The 23,843-nt window shown below is 38.9% G+C and overlaps 1 protein-coding gene across 5 annotated transcripts in view; it reads right to left on the bottom strand.

Moving 5' to 3' along the window:
* Positions 1-23,843, bottom strand: part of ARHGAP10 (Rho GTPase activating protein 10) — a 340,689-nt gene that overhangs the window by 40,978 nt on the left and 275,868 nt on the right. For all 5 annotated transcript variants that reach the window (NM_024605.4, XM_005263215.4, XM_047416160.1 and 2 more), the window contains one exon: positions 8,386-8,536. In NM_024605.4, coding sequence (NP_078881.3) covers positions 8,386-8,536 — 151 coding nt within the window. The remainder of the gene's footprint in view (positions 1-8,385; positions 8,537-23,843) is intronic.

The following is a 23,843-nucleotide window of genomic DNA, read 5'->3' as shown; positions in this document are numbered from 1 at the left end:
GTTTTATGTCCCACATTGAAAACCATAGTCCTCTCTGGCTCTTCCTTCTCCTTTATCTCCTGGATCAAGACCACAGCTGTGACTCCCTTACAACACTAAACATTTGTTTTTTAAATGGAAAAACTAAGAATCATTCTTAAAATTAAAAAATAAATAGCATTGTTAGAAATGCACAGAGTAACTCTGAAAGGAACCACAAGACAAATGGCAATGTCTGTTGACTCCAGGGAAGAGAAGTTCACAGTTGCCCTTATGTTCAGCACTCTAGTAGAGTGATTAAGAACCCAGACCCTGGAATCAGACTGCCTGGGTTCCATCCTAGCTTTGTCACAGATGTGGGTGAGTTATTGGCCTTCTCTATGCCTCAGTTTCCTGAACTATAAAATAGGGATAATAATACTACCTATAGGATTGTTCTGGATATTATCTAAGTTTAATAAATATTGCCAATAACAGTACTTGGTATATAATATGCTAATACATAACTGTTCAAAGTTATTACTCTCTGAATTTTGTATCATACTCCTGCATGAACTACTAAAGATTTTAAGAAAAAGAATATACCTTTTAAAAAATAGCCAAGATAATAAACAGACTTAAATAATCACTATTTCTCTTTAAAAATAAAAATCATTACCATAAGCACATTTCATGCTCAAAAACTTGTGCTGCTGATTTTAAAGACTATTAGTAGATCCAAAATGCCAGTCTCAAAATTCATTTTTTTGTTGTTGTTGTTGGAGATGGGGTCTTGATCTGTCACCCAGGCTGGAGTGCAGTGGTATAATCACGGCTCGCTGCAGCCTCAACTTCCCAGGCCCAGCTGATCCTCCCACCTCGGCCACCCAACATGCTGGGATTATAGGAGTGAGCCACTAGGCCTGGCCCCAAATTTCATTTTAATAGGCTTAAATGGTTTTTTTTTTTCTTTTTTTTCTTTCATCTAAAGGTGACCCTGTACTGCTTCTTAATACAGCCTAGGAGGGCACAAAGGAAGGTAGAATGAGCATGCAGAGGGAACCAGGCTGCAAAGATGCAACCCAGAACTAAGAAAAGCCAACTGAAGACAACTGATGATAAATACAAGGAGTGTTCTCTGGCATTGCCTCAGTCTTGCATCATTTCTTTTTCCTCAACAGCTGGTAAGAATTCAGTAAGTAAAAATGAACTGGCCACAGGTTGGCTTTGTTCTATTAATTGTACACAACACTCTTAGATCATGGTCATTTTAATCATGGGCCATAGAGTTTTCAGAGCAACAGAAGTCACTTGGAATTGGTTACACAGAGAAATACCTTCTCCCTCAAGATTTCTGCTCATCTTCCTGGCTATCAAAGAAAACGTTTCAAATCAGTCACTCTTGACAGCCTTAAAATTCCATTTCATTCAGGATAAACAATACTTTGGTTGGTTTGAAAAGATGTTTCTTAGACAGCCCAGCTACCTCCTACGCCACAAGAGTTTCAAAGGGGGCTATAAAGAGAGTGACAGCTGCTTGAATTCAGAACTAGAAATTAAAATAAAAGCTATTAGAAGTGGAGAAAAAACCCACTCCACAGGGAGAGAAGCTTTAAAGAATTTTTCTCTCTTCTATAAATCTGAGTTACCTGCCATGAACTTATTTTCACCACAGAAGCAGCTATGTATTTTTTTTAAAGGCATTAAATAAGCTTTTTTTTTTTCCTCCTCCACAGAAAGGGGGAAATGTTCATCCCACACAGAAGCACAGTTAAAATTACATAGGAAGCAATAGAAGAAGTTGCCTTTCACTTTGTCACTAGCATTGGGGTTGGTGGGGGGGGGGATGCTGAGCCTCACGGGAGGTTTCTGGGGAGACACCAACGCAGGGGAGGCATCCCACATAATTTCTAGGCACGCCACAACTCAATTACAGCCCTGAATCTTCTGGCTGCCTTTTCCAACCCATTGATCTCATCATTGTAAAAGTGAGTTAAGAAATAATCTGTCTACATATACTGTCACACATTCAAGCCTGGTCTTAGATTAAACTTCACAACACAGTAATTCCATGTCAAGGAATCATAACACTGCTGTGAGGAGATGGCAAAGGGCTTCTGGGCTTGGGAAGTTATTATCCAGAGCCCACCCATGAAATGCCATGCCAAAAAAAAATTGGTAAGCATGGAGAAAAGACAGACTGCCCATCTTAATGCAAAGGTCTGCTTAGTCCAGTTACCTGGATTGATTATAATCTGCATCAAGCTGATCACATGTTTACAAGGAAACATCTATAGCTACAGAATGTCAACGAAAATCCATGCCAACAATGGTTTTCCAGTTGTCCTTCTCACACCTCCACATAGTTTGTGTCCTGCTAACATCGTGGGAAAGACAGAGTAGTTACAATTCACTTATGAAAGCACATTTTCATAAAGAGGCATTCTATAGATGCTCTCTTGGGAGCTGAGATTACAGAGTGCACCGCTGCCGTGAATGTGAGCTATCCTTGGCTTCTAATGAAGGGTCTCACTAGAGTGAGTGGCCTCCCATCCCTTAATATGAGCCTATGGATGAACGTGGATATATGTGCCTGTGAGGAAAAATTGGAGAAAAATGAGCTGTACTTTGCTCATAGTTATAGGACTGTTCTTTTTCTAAGCACATGGAATATTTTAGTAACTATTTACTATTTCTCTCTTTCTACTGACTTTCCCATATACACTATTTCCATATACACTATTTATACCAAGACATTCTACACCATTTTTTACTAAACCTATTTTTCAAAGCAGTTACGCATAAGAATACGTATTGAACACACTAACAAAATGGCATGTTTCCTTCCTTTTGATGGAAAGATGGTCTGTTTTTAAGCTGCAAGGAAAAAACTGAAGATAAAAACAAAAACATAAACACAATGATAGATTTACCTATGAGCCTAATCTGTGGCGAATAATGTCCACTTTATCTGCCTTGATCTCTCCATCTAGTCAGTTGAGAAGTCCCCGATTTGCTTTAACATCTCTCCCAGATATCCATTTTATTTTTGCTTTCTAGTGCTAATTCAAGCCCACTTCAACCTCAGCCTAAATTACTTCATCAGCCTTTTACCATGGCTGCCTTTCAGATTTCTACTGGCAGATTAAGTCAGATTAAGTTTCTTAAGTATTATTTTCAAAATGTTACAACTCTTCTCCCTTGCTGAAAAATATTCAGTGGTTCCTCTTATCATTTTAAACCTAAAGCACCTTTCCCTGGCTTTAAGAATACTACCCTACAGCAGCAGCTAGAGTTCGAGTGCTTACTATGTGCCAGACGTTAGGCTAAACACATTAACAACTGAACCTTCTCAACCATCCTCAGTGGTAGATACTATTATTACCCTGATTTTGTAGCTAATAAAATAGATTTAGAGAGGGTAAGCAATTTGTCCATGAGTATACAGTCAGGATACATATTCCCCAGCCCAGGCTCCAATCCACCCATTTGTCCCTTAAGCTGTCTCTCCTGGGTCTAAGTCTTTCACATCAGTTCCGCCCATCATTCACAACTGTCAACACTGTCCCCTTCTAATCAGGGAATCTCCTACCCTCACACCTGGCTCCGGCTCTCTGCTCCTGCCATGCCTCAGTCACGCTACTCCCCTTACCTGAAACCCTTTCCCACCCAACTGCCGAAACAGCTCATTTCAAGGAAACCAGAAAGCACCCCCTACAGACTTCCCTTCCTCAGAGCTAGCACTGGGCACTTACTGCCACGTTGTTTCTTATTTCACTGCAGTGACAAACAGAATGGGAACAGAAAATTAGCTCCTTTAAAGGAAAAACCGTATGTGGCAGGATGTGGAGCATATAAAAGCTCTTCAATTGATATGCAGTATAATTCTGATTTTCATATCTAGTATAATAAAAACCACTAATAAATGGTAGAGGCAAAAAAAACTTCCAAATGGCTAACAGCATTCCATCGTTTAGAATTAAAAATCTACATTTAAAAAGACCGCACAGTGGCCTGCTTTCTAGTTTTCTGTTCTCTTGCTCATGCCTCAAAATCAAACCAAATTCTTTCAACCTACCTAAGACGGCTAATTTATATCATCAGCATTGCTCTCGTTGACGTGTGACATTTAAATTTTAGCTAATTATTCAAAGTTCTAATTTGATATTACTCAGGCTGAAAGGACATCTATATATGACATATTTGTCCTACTCTGATTTTAGAGACTCACCTAGATCAAGATATGTTCCTACTTAGGATACAAGGAAATGATCACGTGTCATTGTTTATCCATCTCTGCCCCGCTCAACAGTAGTATTTTCATTTTTTTGCTGAGAAGGCTCTGTATCCTCATCACGGTATCTACCACGCTGTAGGACTACAATAACACATGCTCAACAAAATGTGCTGCAGTTAGCACATTCGTGATCCAAATGTTAAAGTGCCAACCCGACGATACCCAAGTAAGACCAACACTCAAATGTTATTAAATCTTGCCAATTGGCTTGCAAGATGATTTTGTTTTCAACTCACTATAAGTCATATTTTTTTAAGTTGCCTAAATAAGCTGCTGTATCATGTTACAAAAGAAGACAGGCAAAGAATACTTAATTACACCAGAAGATACATATAAAACCTAGTTCTGTAAATGTCTAGTTTTGTTTAAAATTAGAACTAGCATGAAGAAAGAGATTCAGATGGTAATCCTCTTCTCCCCGACTCCCCAGACCTTTGCTTAAAATTTCTTCTGCCTTGAATGAAAAATAACAAAGATCACTTTGATCTCATATAGCCTCCTGAACTTTCCTTGTATTTGGGGGAATTACAATAAACACAACAGCCCCTCTTTATGTAAGAGATTGTAAGGACATGCACTTGGAGTGGGGGCAGGAGAAAATAAACACATAACATATATTTAACATTTTTAGAGTTATCTTACTAGTAGTTCTAAAGAAATAAAAACATGGGATATAACTTGAAAATGAAATGAAAGCAAACCTTTGATTTCTAATCTTTTCAGCACTTAGCAGCCTACGTCATATTTTGCTTTTTCATAACTGACTTAGCCAAATCTACTCAGCTTTGATGTTGAGATTAAATGTTATATGAAAAATGAGCAATATGGCTTCAACAAAATAAAAGATGAGAATCTCACAAAGATTTAACAGCTGCTCTAATTTAAGAAAACTAGCCAGATACTATATCCATTTTAGTTCATATTAATCATCAATAAAGAAGCTTAAGCAAGTAACTAGAATTTTACAGTCTTTTGCAAATAAATTTAATATCATTTAATCATATATTGCAAAGAAAAATAATGAGCATACACAGTATGGCTAGATGCGCCAATGCCGATGGAAGTCTTTACTAAAGTAAAGACACTCGGTTTATTTAGTTAAACTGGTCATCTCTCAATTGGGAGTGGGGGTGAGGTTGAATGAACATAACAGAAAACATGTCTCCCAGCAGAGGATCTCCCCTCCGGCTTCATGCTGGGTTTTCTGCATCCAGGCCCATCCTACTGTGACACATGCTAACAGGCTTGCTGACTCTTCGCTGATGCTTTTTTGATCTGCCTGATGCTGAACTGAAACCAATTCCGAGTGTGTTCCAAGACTGGCTGTTTGGGACATCACACAGTTTCATACTCTACTCAGTGCAGAAGAAGAAATAACATACCACAAACCACTTCACTCAAATACCAAATCTCTGACCAAATCATAGGCCTGAAGAACATCTCCAGTCATCCAATCCAGTTCCTCAAATCTTGGCAGATAGTCTACACCTAACTTATAAGCAAAAACTATTCATCCTGTATTTAATTAATTCAAATTAACTTACACTACAATGAGTCACGGGGCGGGGGCAGGGAAGAGAGAAGCATATTTGTATACACATTTTCTATCTGTCCCATATAAACTAGAACATTTGGAAAAATAATCAACCAAAGTTGTCTATAATAATGCATATTTTAACACAAACTAGATTAACATGGGAAGTCACTTCACTACTAAAATAAGAAAAAAATACAAAAAAATTAAACTTTTTGAAACCTTCAAGTCGTTTTGACAATTATATGATTCAAGCTACTTTAAAAAAAATTAAGTCGTAATGACAAGAATACATCTTCTTCTGGCAGTAAAATTTTCAATATGCTAAGTGACATTCAATAACATGAAAGTTTTTTTAGTATTCTTTTCCTATATGCTTCCTTTCAAATAAATGTATTCACTTTTCTTTTTTTTTTAGAATATGTAAAATATAAAAAGCCTATGACAAAATATAGACCCTACTCTGTTCTCTCTGAAATAACTATTTTTTCACACAACTAAAACTTAACTACAAAAAACTGAGGGCAAGGGAGAATAATAGTTTTAAGTTGCTTTATCTTATCATATAACCTCTAACATAAGATTAAATCACTATGACCAAACTTAAGAGTTTTCCTGATTCTGACAACTTAAAAAAAAAAATCCCAAAGTTGCAACCAAGGATGAATATAAAGCTATAAAATACTTCATGAAATACAAAATGTAGAACAAAACATCATGCAAATAATGAACATAAAAACCAGACTAAAGAAGTTAAGTAGCTGACAATCCTTTCCCTTAAAAATCAAGTAATTTTAACGAATTATTTTATCACCTACAAGTTAGGAAGGCTGTGATTGTACACTAGCTTGAGTGTTCCCATAAGAGATATGCTAAATACCACTACAGAAACTTCTTACCATTAATAATCACTTAGCAATCCAATGATCAAAAGGTTAATCCACTAAATAAATTTGACTGGATATTACGATTCCATTGCTAAGAACATCAAAATAGTAGACGTGATCCTAAGACCAAAACGTCCTTCTTTAGTCATCTACCTCATGAAATACAGTCAATTCCATTTTGCTCAAGGGCCAATGAGCCATTTGAGGTATTCTGTGTCTTCTTGATTTCTTTTTCCTTTCCTACTTTCCAACATTTGCTTATTTCACTATTTATTAACACTTCCATCAGAGGACAAGTGAGGTGTAAGAGAAGGTGCAATTCAAAACAGTCAGTTTTACTCCTTATTAACAACTCTGCTGAGAAAGAATGAACGTAAGAAAGAGACAGAATAAAAAAGTTAGCTAGGATCAGAAGTTGAAATGAGTGTCTAAAAGGAAGTTCTGAAATTATAGCTTAATTGTAATGATTCATGCCCTTCCTCTGGAAATTAACTATCCAATTGTAAAACTAATATTTGTATCATATGTACCTACGTCTTAAGCAATATAAAAGAATCCCACATTTTAGTCCCCCTGTGTCATTACAGGAGGCATTCCGAGTCTTCCTAGAGATACCTCTAAGTCAGGTAAGCTGAAGACAGTTGTCACCTGCTTGCGTGGATCTCTGGATATTAACCACCTGGTGTGTGCATGCAGCTGCCTATGATGAAGGCATGGTATCTGTCACCATCCTCATCCCCTTCCTCACTCTGCTAATCTCACACTTCCCAACTAAGGTAACCTGGGTAGCTCAAGGATAATAAATGAAAGATTCTCTTTTTTGAAAAAGAGGACTAGAAGAAGAATGAAGACTACTTTCAAATTCAGCAAATGTTCTCAATAAGAGGAAGGCCTCACAACACGAGTCACAGCTTCAGGCTGCATACTGAAAACGCAGGTTTGGATACCAGAATCATCTTATTCTCCACACCAATAACCATATGATTACAAATTAGCAATGGGAGGCGTGTGCACAGCTCCCAGTCTTGTTTTGTATGGATCAGTGTTGAAAACTCAGATTTCTAGGCTTTGTAAAAACTGGGCAATCTGGCAACACTGAAACAACAGGGCCACGTGGCAACGATTAGCTGAACAGCATGGCTCGGAAGGGACGTGAGAACTTCCACTGGCCAGAGTTCCACTGCAGCCCAGTTCCCACAAGCCTGGCCCAGGTAGGCAGGTCAACCTGCCACCCCTGCCATAAGATGAAGCATTCTGCCTGATGAACAAGTCAGAAAAATGGGGCAAGTAAGGCACACAAGCCATAAACCCCAGAGCGATGGTGAACTGTGCCTTTAATCTAGATGCATTTAACATGAGACTCCATCCGCTCCTCTCATAAAAGATCTGCTTTAATTTTAGTTCCCCTTCCATTTGTCTCAGGGTTATGTAACCTCACAGGAGGTCACACAAGTCTCCCAAAAAAGAAATTTAAGCTGTCTTTTAAAAATAAAAAAAGAACCATGCATAACAAAGACAAACACAAAACCGAAACTTGCGTTTTCTCCCTTACAAAAAAGCTTCACCCTCCCTGTAAATCTCAAAATTATAATCTTAAGGGAAGAAGAAATTAAAACACAGATGACAGAAAACTGTGGCCTGCCCTGACGACATATGATACGCCATACTCTCAACATGCTATCAAGCAAAAAATATCATTAACATCTTACCATCTTCCAGCTCCAGACAAAGATTGTAGACGGCCACGGGCCTCTTGGTTCTCTGGCCTTGTCTCTTCGACTGCCTTGGTGGCGCATTTGGGGGTGATGCTGACAGGCAGGTGGGCTCAGGGAATGTAGTATCGGGCGGCGTCCGAAAAATCTTCCAACAAAGCATAAAGGACAGGAATTATTTACCATGAACAGAAACCTGTGTGTTACTCCAGTAAACCAGCACCACAACATTTGATTTGGAGTTCATTCAAGACAGGCTAGAGCCCAAAATCCATTCCTTCCAATGAAGGGAAGAGGTCATAGCCTTTTATTTTTTTAACAGAAGATTCCAAAATAAAATCTCTGATTAAATTTAAATCAAAACAACATCAGATTGTTATATATCAAATAATTCATTCCAAAACTAAACAAATAAAACTATCTTTAGCAGATATAGACAGTACCACAGCCCTTCATCTCCAAAGGAGGCAGCCAGGATAAAACAGTAAAAACAAGTATTCCATTAAATTTTATGGAAGGTTATATTTACACCAAAACGTTGGCCTCAATTTTTTCCAAACTACGTAAACAGAAACATATGACTGCAAATACTTTTTACACATTTAAAAATAGCCTATGCTTATGAAATTACCTTTCTAGCTTCCCATTTACATTTTTCATAAAATGTTTTCTGGATTTTATCAATTCATTTAATACCCTCTAACCCCTCTTTTATTTCCCCTTTCATTTATGAAACCTAGAATATTAGCACCTTGATCTATCTATAATGTCATTCACAGATCAGTAATAACAACATTAATTAAAATGTGCTGCTCCTTTGCTTAGCAAATTTCTTCTTTTGAGAAAAGCAATTTGTGCCACAAAGAAAGCATATCACACAGAGGTGACTGATAATAGACCCTCCATAGCTGTGAGACCCCAGTTCAGAGGCTTCCTTCCAGCAATGCTGCAGGCCCTTCATTCTTCAATAAAGTCATAAAGTAAAATACATTAGAGATATCAACCTAATAGAAGCTGCATCTCCAAAGGGCTGACGTTCCTCAGGTGGAAGCAGAAAACAGGAAGAAAGCCAGCCAGCTTTAAACAAAACATGAATATAAAACCCACAAATACCTAATGTATGTGGGGCTTAAATCCTAGAGGGCGGGTTGATGGATGCAGCAAACCACCATGGCACATGTATACCTATGTAACAAATCTGCACGTTCTGCACATCTATCCCAGAACCTGCACGTTCTGCACATGTATAATTTAAAAACAAAAAGCACTGTGAGAATGTCTCACTGTTTTATATTTTTTATATTAAAAGTGGTACACAACCTTCGATACAAGTGAGGGTATATCACTTACATATGTGTATTGCTGAACAACTAACAACAATGCTGGAGTTTTAATTGCACAGTCAAAAAGTTCGCACCTAAAAACTATTATATACCAATAAAAATAAGCTACTTCAAAGACAGCATTTGCTTTATAGTCCCATACTGCCCCCTCATGTGTAAATGAAATTTTTAAAAAATGATTTAAGTTACTGTAGACAAATATGTGCTAGTGAAAATTTAATTTATTGCTCCAACTGGTAACCTGCCAACACCATGTTTCCACAAAATCTGTGTTCCAATAGACCACTCTGGCCAATAGCAAACTACTTATCTGCCTAAAAAATCCTCTGCTGCCTGGACTATTATCCACAGCTGGATTTACTGTCATCTGTCATTGTTCAGATGTAAGAAGGTTGTGGGGTGGTGGGAACAGGAGAGCAGTTAAATTGAGAAGTCCGATAACAGTGAAGGAGAGAAGAAAAGCCAGGAAATATGACTCCACTGGAAAAATAAAAAAAATGGCACCTGTGACATTTAAAACAGCTCCCTGGCTTACCTACTAATATGTTTGATGTTTACAAATATGGCAGATGCCTCTAGGATGTCACCAGAATAGAAAACCAAACCATACACACAGCCAGTATATCCAAAGCATAAATTAGCAATGAAAAAGTTATATCCCAACAACTGGTGATGGACAGATGAAAACCTTCCAAACAGACCCTCTTACAGGATCATACTGACTGGAACAGCGCAAATGCTGAAAACTGCCCCACCTCTTTCCTCCAGTTTGAAGTGAGGGTGTTGGGGAAAGGGTGTGGGGGGTGAGGTGTGGAGGCAACCCCAAACTGCAGAGCCAGACTACCAAGCAAAATGAGACCCTGCAGAGGACTGATCTCAGTCCTTCCCAGCACCTCAGTCCAAATCTCAGGGCTGGGTCCAACCCGGGTTGGTCTCCAGAAGACTTAAGGCACTGTTTAGCTCACATCAGAATATCTGGGAATGAGTAACAGGCTTTGGAGTCTGTTTTGTTTTCTTTGGTTTACATCTTAAAGCTCCTCAGGTGATTCTTTTGTGTAGCCAAGACTAAGAAACAGTGATTTAGATATAGGTATTCTACAGCTATTTTACACTTATCTTGGATGAACAAAAGTCAAAATCAAAACACCAGAAAATGGGAGTGTAAATGAGTTCAACCACTGTGGAAGACAATGTGGTGATTCCTCCAAGATTTAGAAACAGAAATATTAATACCATTTGACCCAGCAATCCCATTACTGGGTATATACCCAAAGGAACGCAAATCATTCTGTTATAAAGATACACGCACGAGTATGTTTGCTGCAGCATTATTCACAATAGCAAAGACATGGAATCAACCCAAATGCCCACCAATAATAGACTGGATAAAGAAAATGTGGTGTATATATATTAGAATACTATGCAGTCATAAAAAGGAACAAGATCCTGTCCTTTGCAGGGACATGGTTGGAGCTGGAAGCCATTATCCTCAGCACACTAATGCAGGAATAAAAAAAAAAACAAAAAACGCATGTTCTCACTTATAAGTAGGAGCTGAACAAAGAGAACCCATGGACACCTGGGGTGAACACACACTGGGGCCTGTCAGCGGGGCAGGGGGAGGGAGAGCATCAGGAAGAATAGCTAATGCATGCTGGGCTTAATACCTAGGTGATGGGTTGATACGTGCAGCAAACCAGCATGCCACACGTTCATGTAACAAACCTGCAAATCCTGTACATGTAGCCCCAGAACTTAAAAGCTGAAGGGAAAAAAAACACCAGAAAAATTATTTCATAAAATTTGTCACTGTACATATATAATCAATTCCTTGAACCTTGCCAAGCCCTGAGGTATAAAATATGTCAAAGATTCTAAATACACACCACACCCTCAATAAGCTCTATGTTGTATAGGCTGAATATCCCAAATCCAAAAATCTGAAATCTGAAACACTCCAAAATCTGAAACTTTTGAGCGCTGACATGACATTCAAAGGAAATGCTCATTGGAGCATTTTGAATTTCAGATTTTCAGATGTGGGATACTCAACTATTACACATAATGCAAATATTCAAAGCTCAAAAAAAATTGAAATTCATAACACTTCTGGTCCCAAGCATTTCCATTAAGGGATACTCAACCTGTATTAGCATTTCAGAAAGCTAAGCTATCATCCCGATTAACACAGGTAGCAAATCACAGATGCTCATCTGAGACAGCACTATCCTGGCTTTTAAATCTTAACAGCTATGGAAGGTTAGGTTAGACGTTTTTTGTTTTTTGTTTTGTTTTTTTTTTTTTAGGTGGAGTCTCACTCTGTCACCCAGGCTGGAGTGCAATGGCGCGATCTCGGCTCAGCTCGGCTTGGCTAACTGCAACCTCCACCTCCTGGGTTCAAGCGATTCTCCTGCCTCAGCCTCCTGAGTAGCTGGGATTACAGGCACGCACCACCATGCCCAGTTAATTTTTGTATTTTTAGTAGAGATGGGGTTTCACCATGTTGGTTAGGCTGGTCTCTAACTCCTGACCTCGTGATCCGTCCGCCTCTGCCACCTAAAGTGCTGGGATTACAGGTGTGAGCCACCATGCCCATGCCGGGCCAGACTTATTTCTTAACACAGTGTATCTCATTTTCTCATGTGCACAATGAGAACCATAATGCCTGTACTACAGGGATTAAGTGACATAATGTTTATAAAGTGTTCAGTACAGTCCCTGGCACACAGTAGCCAGAAATAAATAGTAGCTATTTGTATTCATAATATAATTGTAACAGCAAATAATTACAAAAATGAATTCAGACCTCATGACTCCACTCAACTGCTATTTTAGAGGGCACTAATTTCTTGGAGTCTTGAATATTCCCCAAATTCAGTGCTCTGAGCCAAGTTATTCTAAAGTGCTCTGGAAAAGGACATCAAGTAACAGGCTAAAGAAAAGTAACAAGTGGAGCACCTTTTCAAAATTCCCAAGTAACCTGGAATCAAACAACTGTTTCCTGTATTTATTTCTGCACTTTAGCACTGAAATTTTGGATATAAATTACTTCCTAATTCATTGAATACATTTAACATTTAACAAACACCTACTAGGTAGCAAGCTTTCTCATAAGCAGTTTAATAATCTCAACAGCCTTTGAGGTAAGTACTGTTCCACACATTTTACAAATAAACAAAGCTCAAAAATTAAACAATTAGCACAAGTCTCCACGGTTTCAAAATGGTAGAGTTGGCATCTGAAGTTGGCTTTCATTCCAAAGTCACTGCTGCCAAACTATAAAAATATTATAGGTTTATGAAACAAACAACATTTAATTCTTAGGGAAAAATACTACCAGCTAGTACTGTCTTATATCTGTTTAGAAAGAGTAAAATGGGGAATAGCTACATAAATTCACCATCCCCTTCTACATGTTCTGAGAATGCATTACCTTTATGTGCATTTACTTTGTCTTCCAGTGCCCCCAGTTCTGAAGCCTTTTTTTTTTTTTTTGTGGATACAAAGCCATGCTCTGATGGTCTCTCTGAAACACCAGGAATGACTTAAAGGGACACTGTTTTTAGATCTACAAGAAGAGGAAATAGTAAAACTGTTTACTTTAAAATTCTGACCTGTGATTTTGGCTATCAAATTCTAGAAGATAAAATGTAGCTTATCTTGTTCTACATTGCCAAGATGTGTATATAATATATACACAAACATAATACTGATTTGCCAATTCTGGAACTACTGCCTGGATGCAAATTCCTCTTAGTGCCCAGGTCTCTTTCTAAGATTGCCCAGCTCTCCCAACTTTCCTGGCATCAAACCTCTCATTGCCTTTGTTCTAAGAGAGATGAACTCATCTTAAGCAATATTGAGAATCAAGAGATTACATCTATTCAAAACTTTTTCCCCACAGGGTGAAAATTTCTTCACAGCACCTACGTATTTACAACATAAGAAAAACTCAAGTCTGACAATCCAATGACAAAAAACACTCCACGCGTAGGCATGCCAGGTAAGGAAGTGCTTGCTTACTCGGGTCTCCTAAGAGTGCCAGCACAAACAGAAGTCTGGCACCGCTGTTCAGAGTGACAGATTCCTCAGACACAACACAATGGATGTTTATGCTCATGGGACTCAGCCATTTATATAAATCCCTCCCCAAGTCCTTCATGCTCTGTTACCAGGGACCACATGTGGAAATGACTACACCACTTCTGCCAGAAATACTTTGCCAATAACAGGATATAAGATGGTCTCTGCAAATTTTGCTTTAGCACACAACTTAAACCTGCTGCATTTGATTGAACTGAATTAATAAATACTTAAGTCCACAGTATCTATCTATGTAATGATATCACACTTCCTCTCCCTGAATTCCTTTACATACACACACATATATATATATATATATATATATATATATAGTTACTGGCTCATAACTGTCACAGCTCTCATTATAATGTTGGGATGCTTTAGGCCTTGGAAGCAGGCCTCAGAAAACAGAATCTCTCTCTGCTCTCCCCAAAGTAGGTATCTTCCCCTGCATTAAAGAGCTGGCCTTCCTGGCTTACCTATTAATTATTTATATTAAAAGAAAAAGTAGCACACAACCTTTGATACAAGTGAGGGGGTATCAGGTACTGTCTATACCTGGTAAACATAGTTTTACTTGTTTAGTTTTGGAATGAATTATTTGATGTATAATGATTTGATGTTGCTTTGACTTAAATTTAATCAGAGATTTTATTTTGGAATCTTCTATTAAAAAAATAAATTCTCTGACCTTCCTTGTCTGACTTTAGGTCGTAAGACCTCCATTTCGGAAGGCATCTCGCTCTATATTCTGGAGGAGGGAATGCTGCACAGAGAGGCCAAGAAGAATCTGAACAGTCAGGCATTGCTGGGTTTCTCTTTCAGTCCATTAGCATTAGATCAGACCCTTTTTGTACAATTATATTTCTGCTTGATGATCAATCATGCCCATCCAATGAAGTCTCCATAAAAGGCGATTCTCCTGCCTCAGCCTCCCGAGTAGCTGGGATTACAGGCATGTACCACCACGCCCAGCTGGTTTTTTTTTTTTTTTTTTTTTTAATAGAGATGAGGTTTCACCATGTTGCCCAGGCTGGTCTTAAACTCCTGGCCTCAAGTGATCTGCCTGCTGCAGCTTCCCAAAGTATGCAATGTCCCTTATAACAAATCAGTAAATGTGTTTGAGCTCTGTGAGCCACTCCAGCAAATTAATCAAAACCAAAGCAGGGGTTGTGGGAACCCCAAGTGGAAGCCAGTCAGAATTTCTGGAGGCCCGGACCTGCGACCAGCATCTGAAAAGGGGGCAGTCTTGGGGACTAAGCCCTCAATCTGTGGCATCTGGCACTACCTCCAGGTAGACGGTGTTGGAACTGAATGGGAGGACACCTAGCTGGTGCTTGCTGCAGAGCTGACTGCTTGCTTGGTGTGTAGGAAAAACCCCCACACATCTGGACACAAAGGTTTTCTGTGTTGATTGTTGTGTTATAAGAACAGAGAAAAAAACAATTTGCATTTTTTCCCTCAATTTTTTTTTTCTTTCAGAGACAAGGTCTTGCTCTAATTGCCCAAGATAGAGCGCAGTGGCACAATCACAGGTCGCTGCAGCCTTGAACTCCTGAGCTCAAGCAATCCTCCTGTCTCAGCCTCTTAAGTAATTAGGACTTTAGGCGCGTGCCACCACAACCAAGTAATTTTTAACGTTTTTGTAGAGACAGGGTCCGTTTTGTTACCCAGGCTAATCTCAAACTCCTGGTCTCAAGTGACCCTCCCACCCCAGCCTCTCAAAGCACTGGGATTACAGGTATGAGTCACTGCATCCAGCTCCAGTAATTCTTTTTTAAAAAGATGTTTCTACTAACATGTTCACTGGTCTTTATTATGATAGAAGATTATGTTTGTATATTCCTATGATCTCAAATAATAACAGTTGCAACTTTTGGGTACTTGCCACATGCCTGACATTATGCCAAGTGCTTGACTTACAAAGATTTGAACCCACTTCCCTCACTCCACTGTACATGTCTTGACCAATGTGTTCCATTGCCTCCAACATCACCCAGTCATACCAAGCCCCATTCACAGTGTGTCCTCTGTGCTGATGTCTTATTTCACAGAACTACACTTATCCATAAGCAGACAGAGGTACTTCCAGAAGACAGCTAGAAATCAACGCAGGCTCTCCTAAGTTAACATAGAAAGGAGGGACAGAAATAAAATGTCCGATCTTCTTTCTAAAAGAGCATAGTTACAAAATGGCCAAATACAACTTTGAGCTTTGGAGTCTACAGGTTTAAGCAAACCCTGATCACCTTGGGGTTGTTTGACTAGGTTCACTCCCAGGCAACCTGAACTTCGACCTACGACTTAACCTCAGAGTAGCTACCACGTGAACAGTACAGAGAGAAAGCAATGAAAACCTTTTCCGACTCTCTGTCCTTGAATCACCATGACTAAATGAGGGTCTTTTCTAGAAAATTTAACTAGAATTGACGACAGGGTCTGACAGTAAAATACCAGTCGGGTTCAGGCTTGAGGCTGGAAATATTCTACAGTTTCACGTTTGTTCTGGTTCACTAAAACTCAGAATCTTGGAGCTGGAAAGTATCCTAGTTATCCCTTAGGCCAAGCCCATTATTTCACAGTTGAGCAAACTGAGGCCCTGTGGTTAAAGATTTGCTCATATTCATACCACTAGTCAGTGGCAGTCAGACCTTACTCCCAGAACAGGCCTCACAGCCAACTGCTACTTCCTATCTTGCCGGCTTTGACCCCTTCTTTCCAACAAAGTACCCCTCATGCATGTACTTCCTCTTCTGGGGAGATTTTGCTGAATAGCTGAAATTCCTCATAGTGATTTCCTATGCATTACAGACGCAAGAGGCTGACATTAGAGCAAATGAAGGGCCCTGTTTGGAGTCCTGCTGCTACCTATCAGTATGAGGCCCTCTCTACCATGTCACAGGAGACTAGAGAAAGGCAGCCAGGAGAAAAGAGAGGGAATAAGGGAACAGGAGATATTTCCCTGCCAGTGGTCACCCATCCCACAGGCTCAGGCCCTGACTCAGCATAAGCTTTTCAAAAAACAACTTCAACTTAGGTTTACAACTAAAACTAAAAGAAGAAAAAAGTACTTTTCTACAATATATCAAATTGGTAGAGTTTCTGTTTTTCTAATTTTGTTTATGTTTTATTTCAGGAAACATTTTTAGACTCCTTTCCCAAGTTCCAGTGGGACATACCATATTGATTTCGGTAGCACTCTATACGCTAAATAGTGATGCATAGCAGACTTTGGTTTTTGCATTAAAGGTTTCAGCATATTGACAATCTTTATCAACCAGACTTTATAAAGTACAACACATTCCAGAACTACCTATTGCACCCATAGCATTTTCAGTGCCACTAACTAGGGATGCAACATCAGTGCCCTGCTTCTTCCAGTGTTTCACAAAGACCAACAGAAGGAATAATAACTTTGATAATACGCTCAGAACCAAATGGCATTAAAGAAATTTTCACTATGTAAACTTTCTCCCCATCTATATCAGGTGAACCTCTCCTGATTAAGCCAAAGCTGCATCACTGTTATGTTCACGGTGTGAACATATATCCCCAATTATAAAATGTTGTTTTCTGGTTTGCAAACCTTTAAAAACACTCCAGGTGCAGTTTTATCAATTTGCACCTGCAAACATTTGGAAAACACAGCATACGATTTCTGAAGTCAGAAGAATACACTTCCCCAAATATAGCTGTAATGTTGACTTTCATAACCCAAATGTCTACAAATACTCTTCGCTGAGTAAAAAGCCAAAGCCTTTTTTGAATGTGTCCTTTGCTCACATGCAAACAAAAAGTTTACATTTCAGTAATAAACGCCTAGACTAACATTAATAAAATATACTCTATGTCAACTATAAGGTATAGTCCATACACAACATTCCTTTTTTTCTCCTCTTCTTCCTCCTTCTTTGATGTTGGTTACAACTTCTTTTGAGGTTCCTTTTCTCCTCTCTTTTCACCCTTCTTTCAGAGCCTCAAGCCTTCCCTTAAAAATCACTGGGTGCCACTAGCAGCACAGAAGATCAAAAAGTAGTAAATGTAAAATTGGCAGTCCCAAAGTCCTGAGGATACCCAAGAAGAGGACTTCCTCTCCTGGGCTAGTGAGAACCCTGATAAAAAAGAGTCTTCCTTAAATGACACTGGTGAAACTTTAAACTGAGTATAAGTAAATACATTTAGAATTAACTGACTCATCATCTCATGAAATTTCCAACGTGAATGCTATTTTTCTTTTGGAATACAAGCCATGACCCCTAGTCATTTGGGTAGGCTAGAGTAACTTTTCCTTTTTTTTGAGATGGAGTCTCGCTCTGTCACCCAGGTTGAAGTGCAGTGGCGCAACCTCAGCTCACTGCAAGCTCCGTCTCCCGGGTTCACGCCATTCTCCTGCCTCAGCCTCCCAAGTAGCTGGGACTACAGGCGCCCGCCACCATGCCCGGCTAATTTTTTGTATTTTTAGTAGAGACAGCATTTCACCGTGTTAGCCAGGATGGTCTCGATCTCCTGCCCTCATGATCCACCTGCCCCAGCCTCCCAAAGTGCTGGGATTACAGGCATAACTTTTCCTAGAAAGAAAAAATAAGCCATGGACCTCTTCATTCTCCAAAAGGAAATGTGTGAATTTTAGTCACAATGAAGAACACATCCCCTGAAGGCAGGTATATGTATTTATCAGAATCATCTGAAACCTTTTCCAAGTACACGTTTACAGGAATGACTTACATATTTAAGAGAGAATCCAATACTTTCTTTTTTCCATTTGCATTTCAGCTCTAATAAAAATAAAATGCCTAAAGTAAATCCATGTTTTGAAAGTGGTCAATGGTGGCACTTTAGGACAGGCTGCCCTGAAGGTGGGGGGCAGATTAGTATCAGCCTTCATACTGAATTACTGTTTCTAAAATTTATAGGAACACTTTGCTTTAATTGATAAACATTTTTTTCCCAAATTACAATTTATTCATGTTACAAAGGTGATAATACACATTATATTCCTTGTAGAAATGTTGGCAAACACAAAACAGCTCTTTAAAGAAGGTTTAAAAAAAAAAAAAAAACCAGACAGATACCCACCATCCCCTACAAAGGAACATTTCTACAAAATTTTGGTGACTATTCTTTAGGGTCTTTTTCTTTTCTTAAAACATTTTGTCATCATAAGGAAGAAAACAGTCAATATATTTAATACAACTATATATGGACCTCAGGTTCCTAGAATTTATTCAGCCCCTGGTTATACATGAGACGTGGCCTCTGCAATATATGGGTTGATGCAACAGTAACTGTGGTTTTTACAATTACTTTTACACCAACTTAATATATCTATTAAGACTAAACTTTGAGGCAAGATTCAATTTCTAAACACATTAGGACACAGGTAGATCTTACCATCCAACCGAAATGTTTCTAAACAAGGGCTTAGAAAATCTGCAGTAATACATTTTAAAAACATTTCAAACAGCACACTGTTCCCCCTCTCACTCCTGTCAACTTAAGTCTATGTGGAGGTCACACATACTGGTGCCAGGCACCAGCCTCTCCTTCAGTGTGAACTGCACAATTCAGTTTAAGAAGTCTTATATATGACGACAAAGCATAATCTTTACCTCGCTCCTGCACCTTAAAAGGTATAAATGTTCCTGCTTAGATTCTTGGATGACCTATTGGTTTGGAACTCACTGCCTCTCAGACATAGCAGCCATGTCTCAAAAGCACAGGGGGAGAGTTCTCTCAATGGGTATCACTTCACTTAGGCCTTGGACCAGCTTTGACATAAATGTTTGCAATCATAATAAATGAAGTAATGACACACTGTCAGGCACATCCCCTTAACTGAAAGGAGAGAGAACAGTCAGGATAATAGGCATAGAACCACACACACAGGAAGGTAGAATGCCTTCATCTGTATTACTGTCGACATGCTAATAATTGTTTGGCACTATCATCAGTAAGACATGGCCCACCTGTCAAATTGGGTCATGCATGCTTATCTTTGTCCAAGAAGGGATTTTAAGAACCCAGCACTATCTGTTATTCTTACGCGTTTAGTTACTGGGGGATTAGCACATAGATTTTTATGTAATTCAAATCCCAACTAATAAACATAAAGGAGCCAACAATTAATGCTAAAACTAACTGGCTAAAGATGCCAAGGAACAGGATTCTTAAATATTCTCAGGGTGTCTCCTGATAGATTACAGTTAATTCCAAAGAGAAAATGGCTATATTTACAATTAGGAAATAAAGCAGTCACTACCTGTGGCAATTTTAAAACATGGCCACAAATTCTCTGACACTCTTTCCGTCAAGAGGTGGAGTCTATCTCCCTGCCCCAGATTTCCCAAATCTGCACAGGCTCCTGACTGCTTCAATCAATAGCTGATGTGAAAGTGAACTATATATGACTTCTGATGCTCAATCATGAAAGGCCCTACAGTCTCTAGCTTGTTTGCTGGAACACTCACTTGGAGCCCTTAGGCAGCCATGTCTGTGAGGAAGCTCAAGCTACATGAAGATGCCACACATAGGTGCCGTGCTCAACAGTCCCAGGGGAGCCCAGCCTGTGAGTCAGCCCAGCCTAGGCACCAGATGTGAGTGCAGAAGCCTCCAGATGATTCCAGCCCACAGCTATTCAAAATTTCCCAGCTGAAGCTCTAGACATCAAGGAGAAGAGACAAGCTAAACTCGCCCTGCCCTGCCTGAATTTGTCTCTATAATCATGAAAATAACAAGATTGTTTCAAAACACTAAATTTTGGGGTGATGTGCTATGCTCTGATAAATAACCAGAGTAACACCCAACCAAGGGATCAATTTCACCAATAATGGAACAAACTGATGTCATGTGCCTCTTGTTGTGATGCACTTAGAACAATCAGCATCATCTATGTACCTCCCAAAAATATGTAACTTGAATCTAATTGTGAAGAGTCAAAGTAATGATTATTTTATAAAACAATTGTCCTGTACACTTCAGAAGTGCCAATGTCATGAAAGACTAAGTCTGAGAAACTATTCTAAGTTAAAGTAGACTAAGAAGGCATGGCAATTATTAAATATAATGTATGATCCTGGATTGGGGCAATTTTTCTATTAAAAATGTCATTTGACAACGGGGAAGTATAAATATGGACTACCATTAGAGCAGTACATCTCAAACATTTACACACACACAAATCACCTGGTGTTCTTATTCAAATGCAGATTCTGATTCAGCCCAATAGTCTTCAATTCTAACAAATTCCCAGTTAATGTCAATGTGTTGGACTACGGGCCACAATTAGAGTCATGATATATAGATAACAGTATTGTGACCATGTCAAATTTCCTGAATTTGTCCTTGTTTTTAGGAGACACATATTCAAATATTTAGGGATGAAGGGTTATGATATAAAGGAACTTAGTCTCAAATTATTCAACAAAAATAGCAATAATAGAATTATACTATAAAGGGTATACAATGTTTATTGTAAACATTCTTGCAACCTTTCTGTGGGTCTAAAATTTTTCAACCAAAAAAAGGGTATGAAAGATAATATGATCAACCCTACAAGGTTGATAGTTTTATTCTAATGATATAGATGAAAAAACCAATGGTTAAAGGGATTAAACACTGGTACACAATATTACTAATAAAAGGACACAAGATCATAATGTTCATTGCTATTTAAATGCACTGTGGTCTTGAAAGAGTAACTTAACTTCTCTATAGCTCAGTCTCCTGATCCAGCTAAAAGGGGTGCACCAGACCAGAGATATCTGGAATCTCCAACATCATGTTATTAACACAGGTATACCATTTAATCACTATATTCCTCACCTACTTCATTCATAGGGCAGAACTTCATTCTCCCTCCAACCTCATGACAAAAAAAAAGTGGAGGGGAATGGAAAACATAACTAAAAACTGTATACTTAAACTAAGACCAAAACACAGACATCTATTAAGTTTTGATTAGTTAACTATAGGAAATTTAATTTCAAAAATTAAAAATGTTTGGGAATCAAGGTATATATTCACTCTAAGGAACAGAACTGTTCCTTATTCAGATACCAGAAACTGAGGTTTCACAAAAGCAGCCTTCACAACGTTCTGAATAAAGTCACCTACGCTTCCAACACTTGAGGTCCCAAAAGGAAACTCGACTCAAAGGGCCAAAGGCAATTTCAAACACTCATTCCTAACTGCAACAAAAATTATGCACAAAGTGAGGAGAGGAAATTGAAGCTGAGTTAGTCCATCTGACTAGATGGAGATCCCAAATTAGGCTCTGGATTGATTACTTAAAAAACGGTGACCATCTGGAAATGTAGAAAAAGATAACCAGAAACTACTACAAGTTCACTAGAAACATGTGAATTAATTTCTTTCAGTACAGGGCTTCCAGACTGGGAAACATCAAAATTCTGTACATCTACATTCTAACAAGGCCTTTAAAATTGTTAACACATTATATCCTTGCACATAAAATGAAGAAATATAGCCTAGATCAGAGGATCTTAACATTTTTTACCTCAAGACTTTATACTCTTATAAATTATTGAGGATCTCGGCCAGGCATGGCGCCTCATGGCTATAATCCCAGCACTTTGGGAAGCCAAGGTGGGCAGATCACTTGAGGTCAGGAGTTGGAGACCAGACTGGCCAACATGGTGAAACCCTGTCTCTACTAAAAATACAAAAATTAGCCAAGCATGGTGGTGTGCACCTGTAATCCCAGCTACATGGGAGGCTGAGGCAGGAGAATCACTTGAACCTGGGAGGCCAGAGGTTGCAGTGGGCCTATATTACACCACTGCACTCCAGCTGAGCGACAAAGCAAGACTCCATCTCAAAAAAAAAAAAGAGAAAAAAGAGAAGTATTGAGGATCTCAAATAACTTTTTTGTTTTTTTCCCCCAAAGAACTTCTGATCATGTGGATTATCTGTTGATCTTGACAGTAAAAAAAATTTAAAACTTTTAAATATATGTATTATTTAATACTAAACCATTACATATTAACATAATGATTTTTCCAAAGCAAAAATAATTTAGTGAGAAGGGCATTTTATCACATTTTGCAAATCTCTTTAACGTCCGACTTAACAGTAGACAGCGGACTCTCTGTCTCCTTCTGCATTCAATGTTTTAATTCAATGTCTTAATATCATCGCCTCTGGAAAACACCACACTACAATCTTAAGGAATGAGTGAAAAGGGCAATTATCAGAAAAATAGCTCTCACCTCACAGAACCCTGAAAAGGTCTCAGGTGACCCCAGTTCACACTTTGAGAATTCAGTCTTACATGCTGATATAGTACGTCTGATTAACAAGATTAAAAACATCCAACCCAACAGACACTGTTAGTAGAACTACATTAATCTGCTGACGGCTTCTCAATCTCAGCACTATTAGCATTTGGGGACTGCTAAGTCGTTGTTGTGGAGGGATTGCCCTGTGCACTGTAAGATGTTCAACATCACCCCGGCCTCTACCTACTAGATACATACCAGCAGTACCACCACCCCCAGTGGGGATCACCAAAACTGTCTCTAGACACTACCAAATGTCCCCTTCGGGCCAAAATTGCTTGAGGTTGAGATCCACCACTTTAAAACTACAAAAATGTTTCTAATAGCATGTGTCAGAGCTCTAATTCAGTAACTGTTAGCACCGGCTTTGTTTTCATCAGCAGAGGACATGAAACTGGGGGAGATACTGATTAATTTCCTGAGCAAGAAGTGCATCCAAGATGCTTTCAGCAGGTTGGAAACAAAGAGACCAGTAATACTAGATTCAACAGAAAAAACTATCAAGCAGTTCCTATGTTTTAAAAAGCAGCTACACAAGACAAGCAATGGAGACTGTATGCCTCAGGAGGAGCAATGCAAAAGGTCAACATAAACAGGAAGCCTAGGATGAGGCCACCACAGGCCATGATTGCAAGCTGATAACCTTTTAGACAGGATTAACAAACACAGGGCACATCCAGAAGGAGGAAGATGCTAACCCAACTGCAGTCCTGATTGACTGGGACATGCTAGG

This window comes from Homo sapiens, chromosome 4 (genome assembly GCF_000001405.40).
Source record: "Homo sapiens chromosome 4, GRCh38.p14 Primary Assembly".
Taxonomy (NCBI): Eukaryota; Metazoa; Chordata; class Mammalia; order Primates; family Hominidae; genus Homo; species Homo sapiens.
This window is presented reverse-complemented; position numbering and strand designations above follow the sequence as displayed.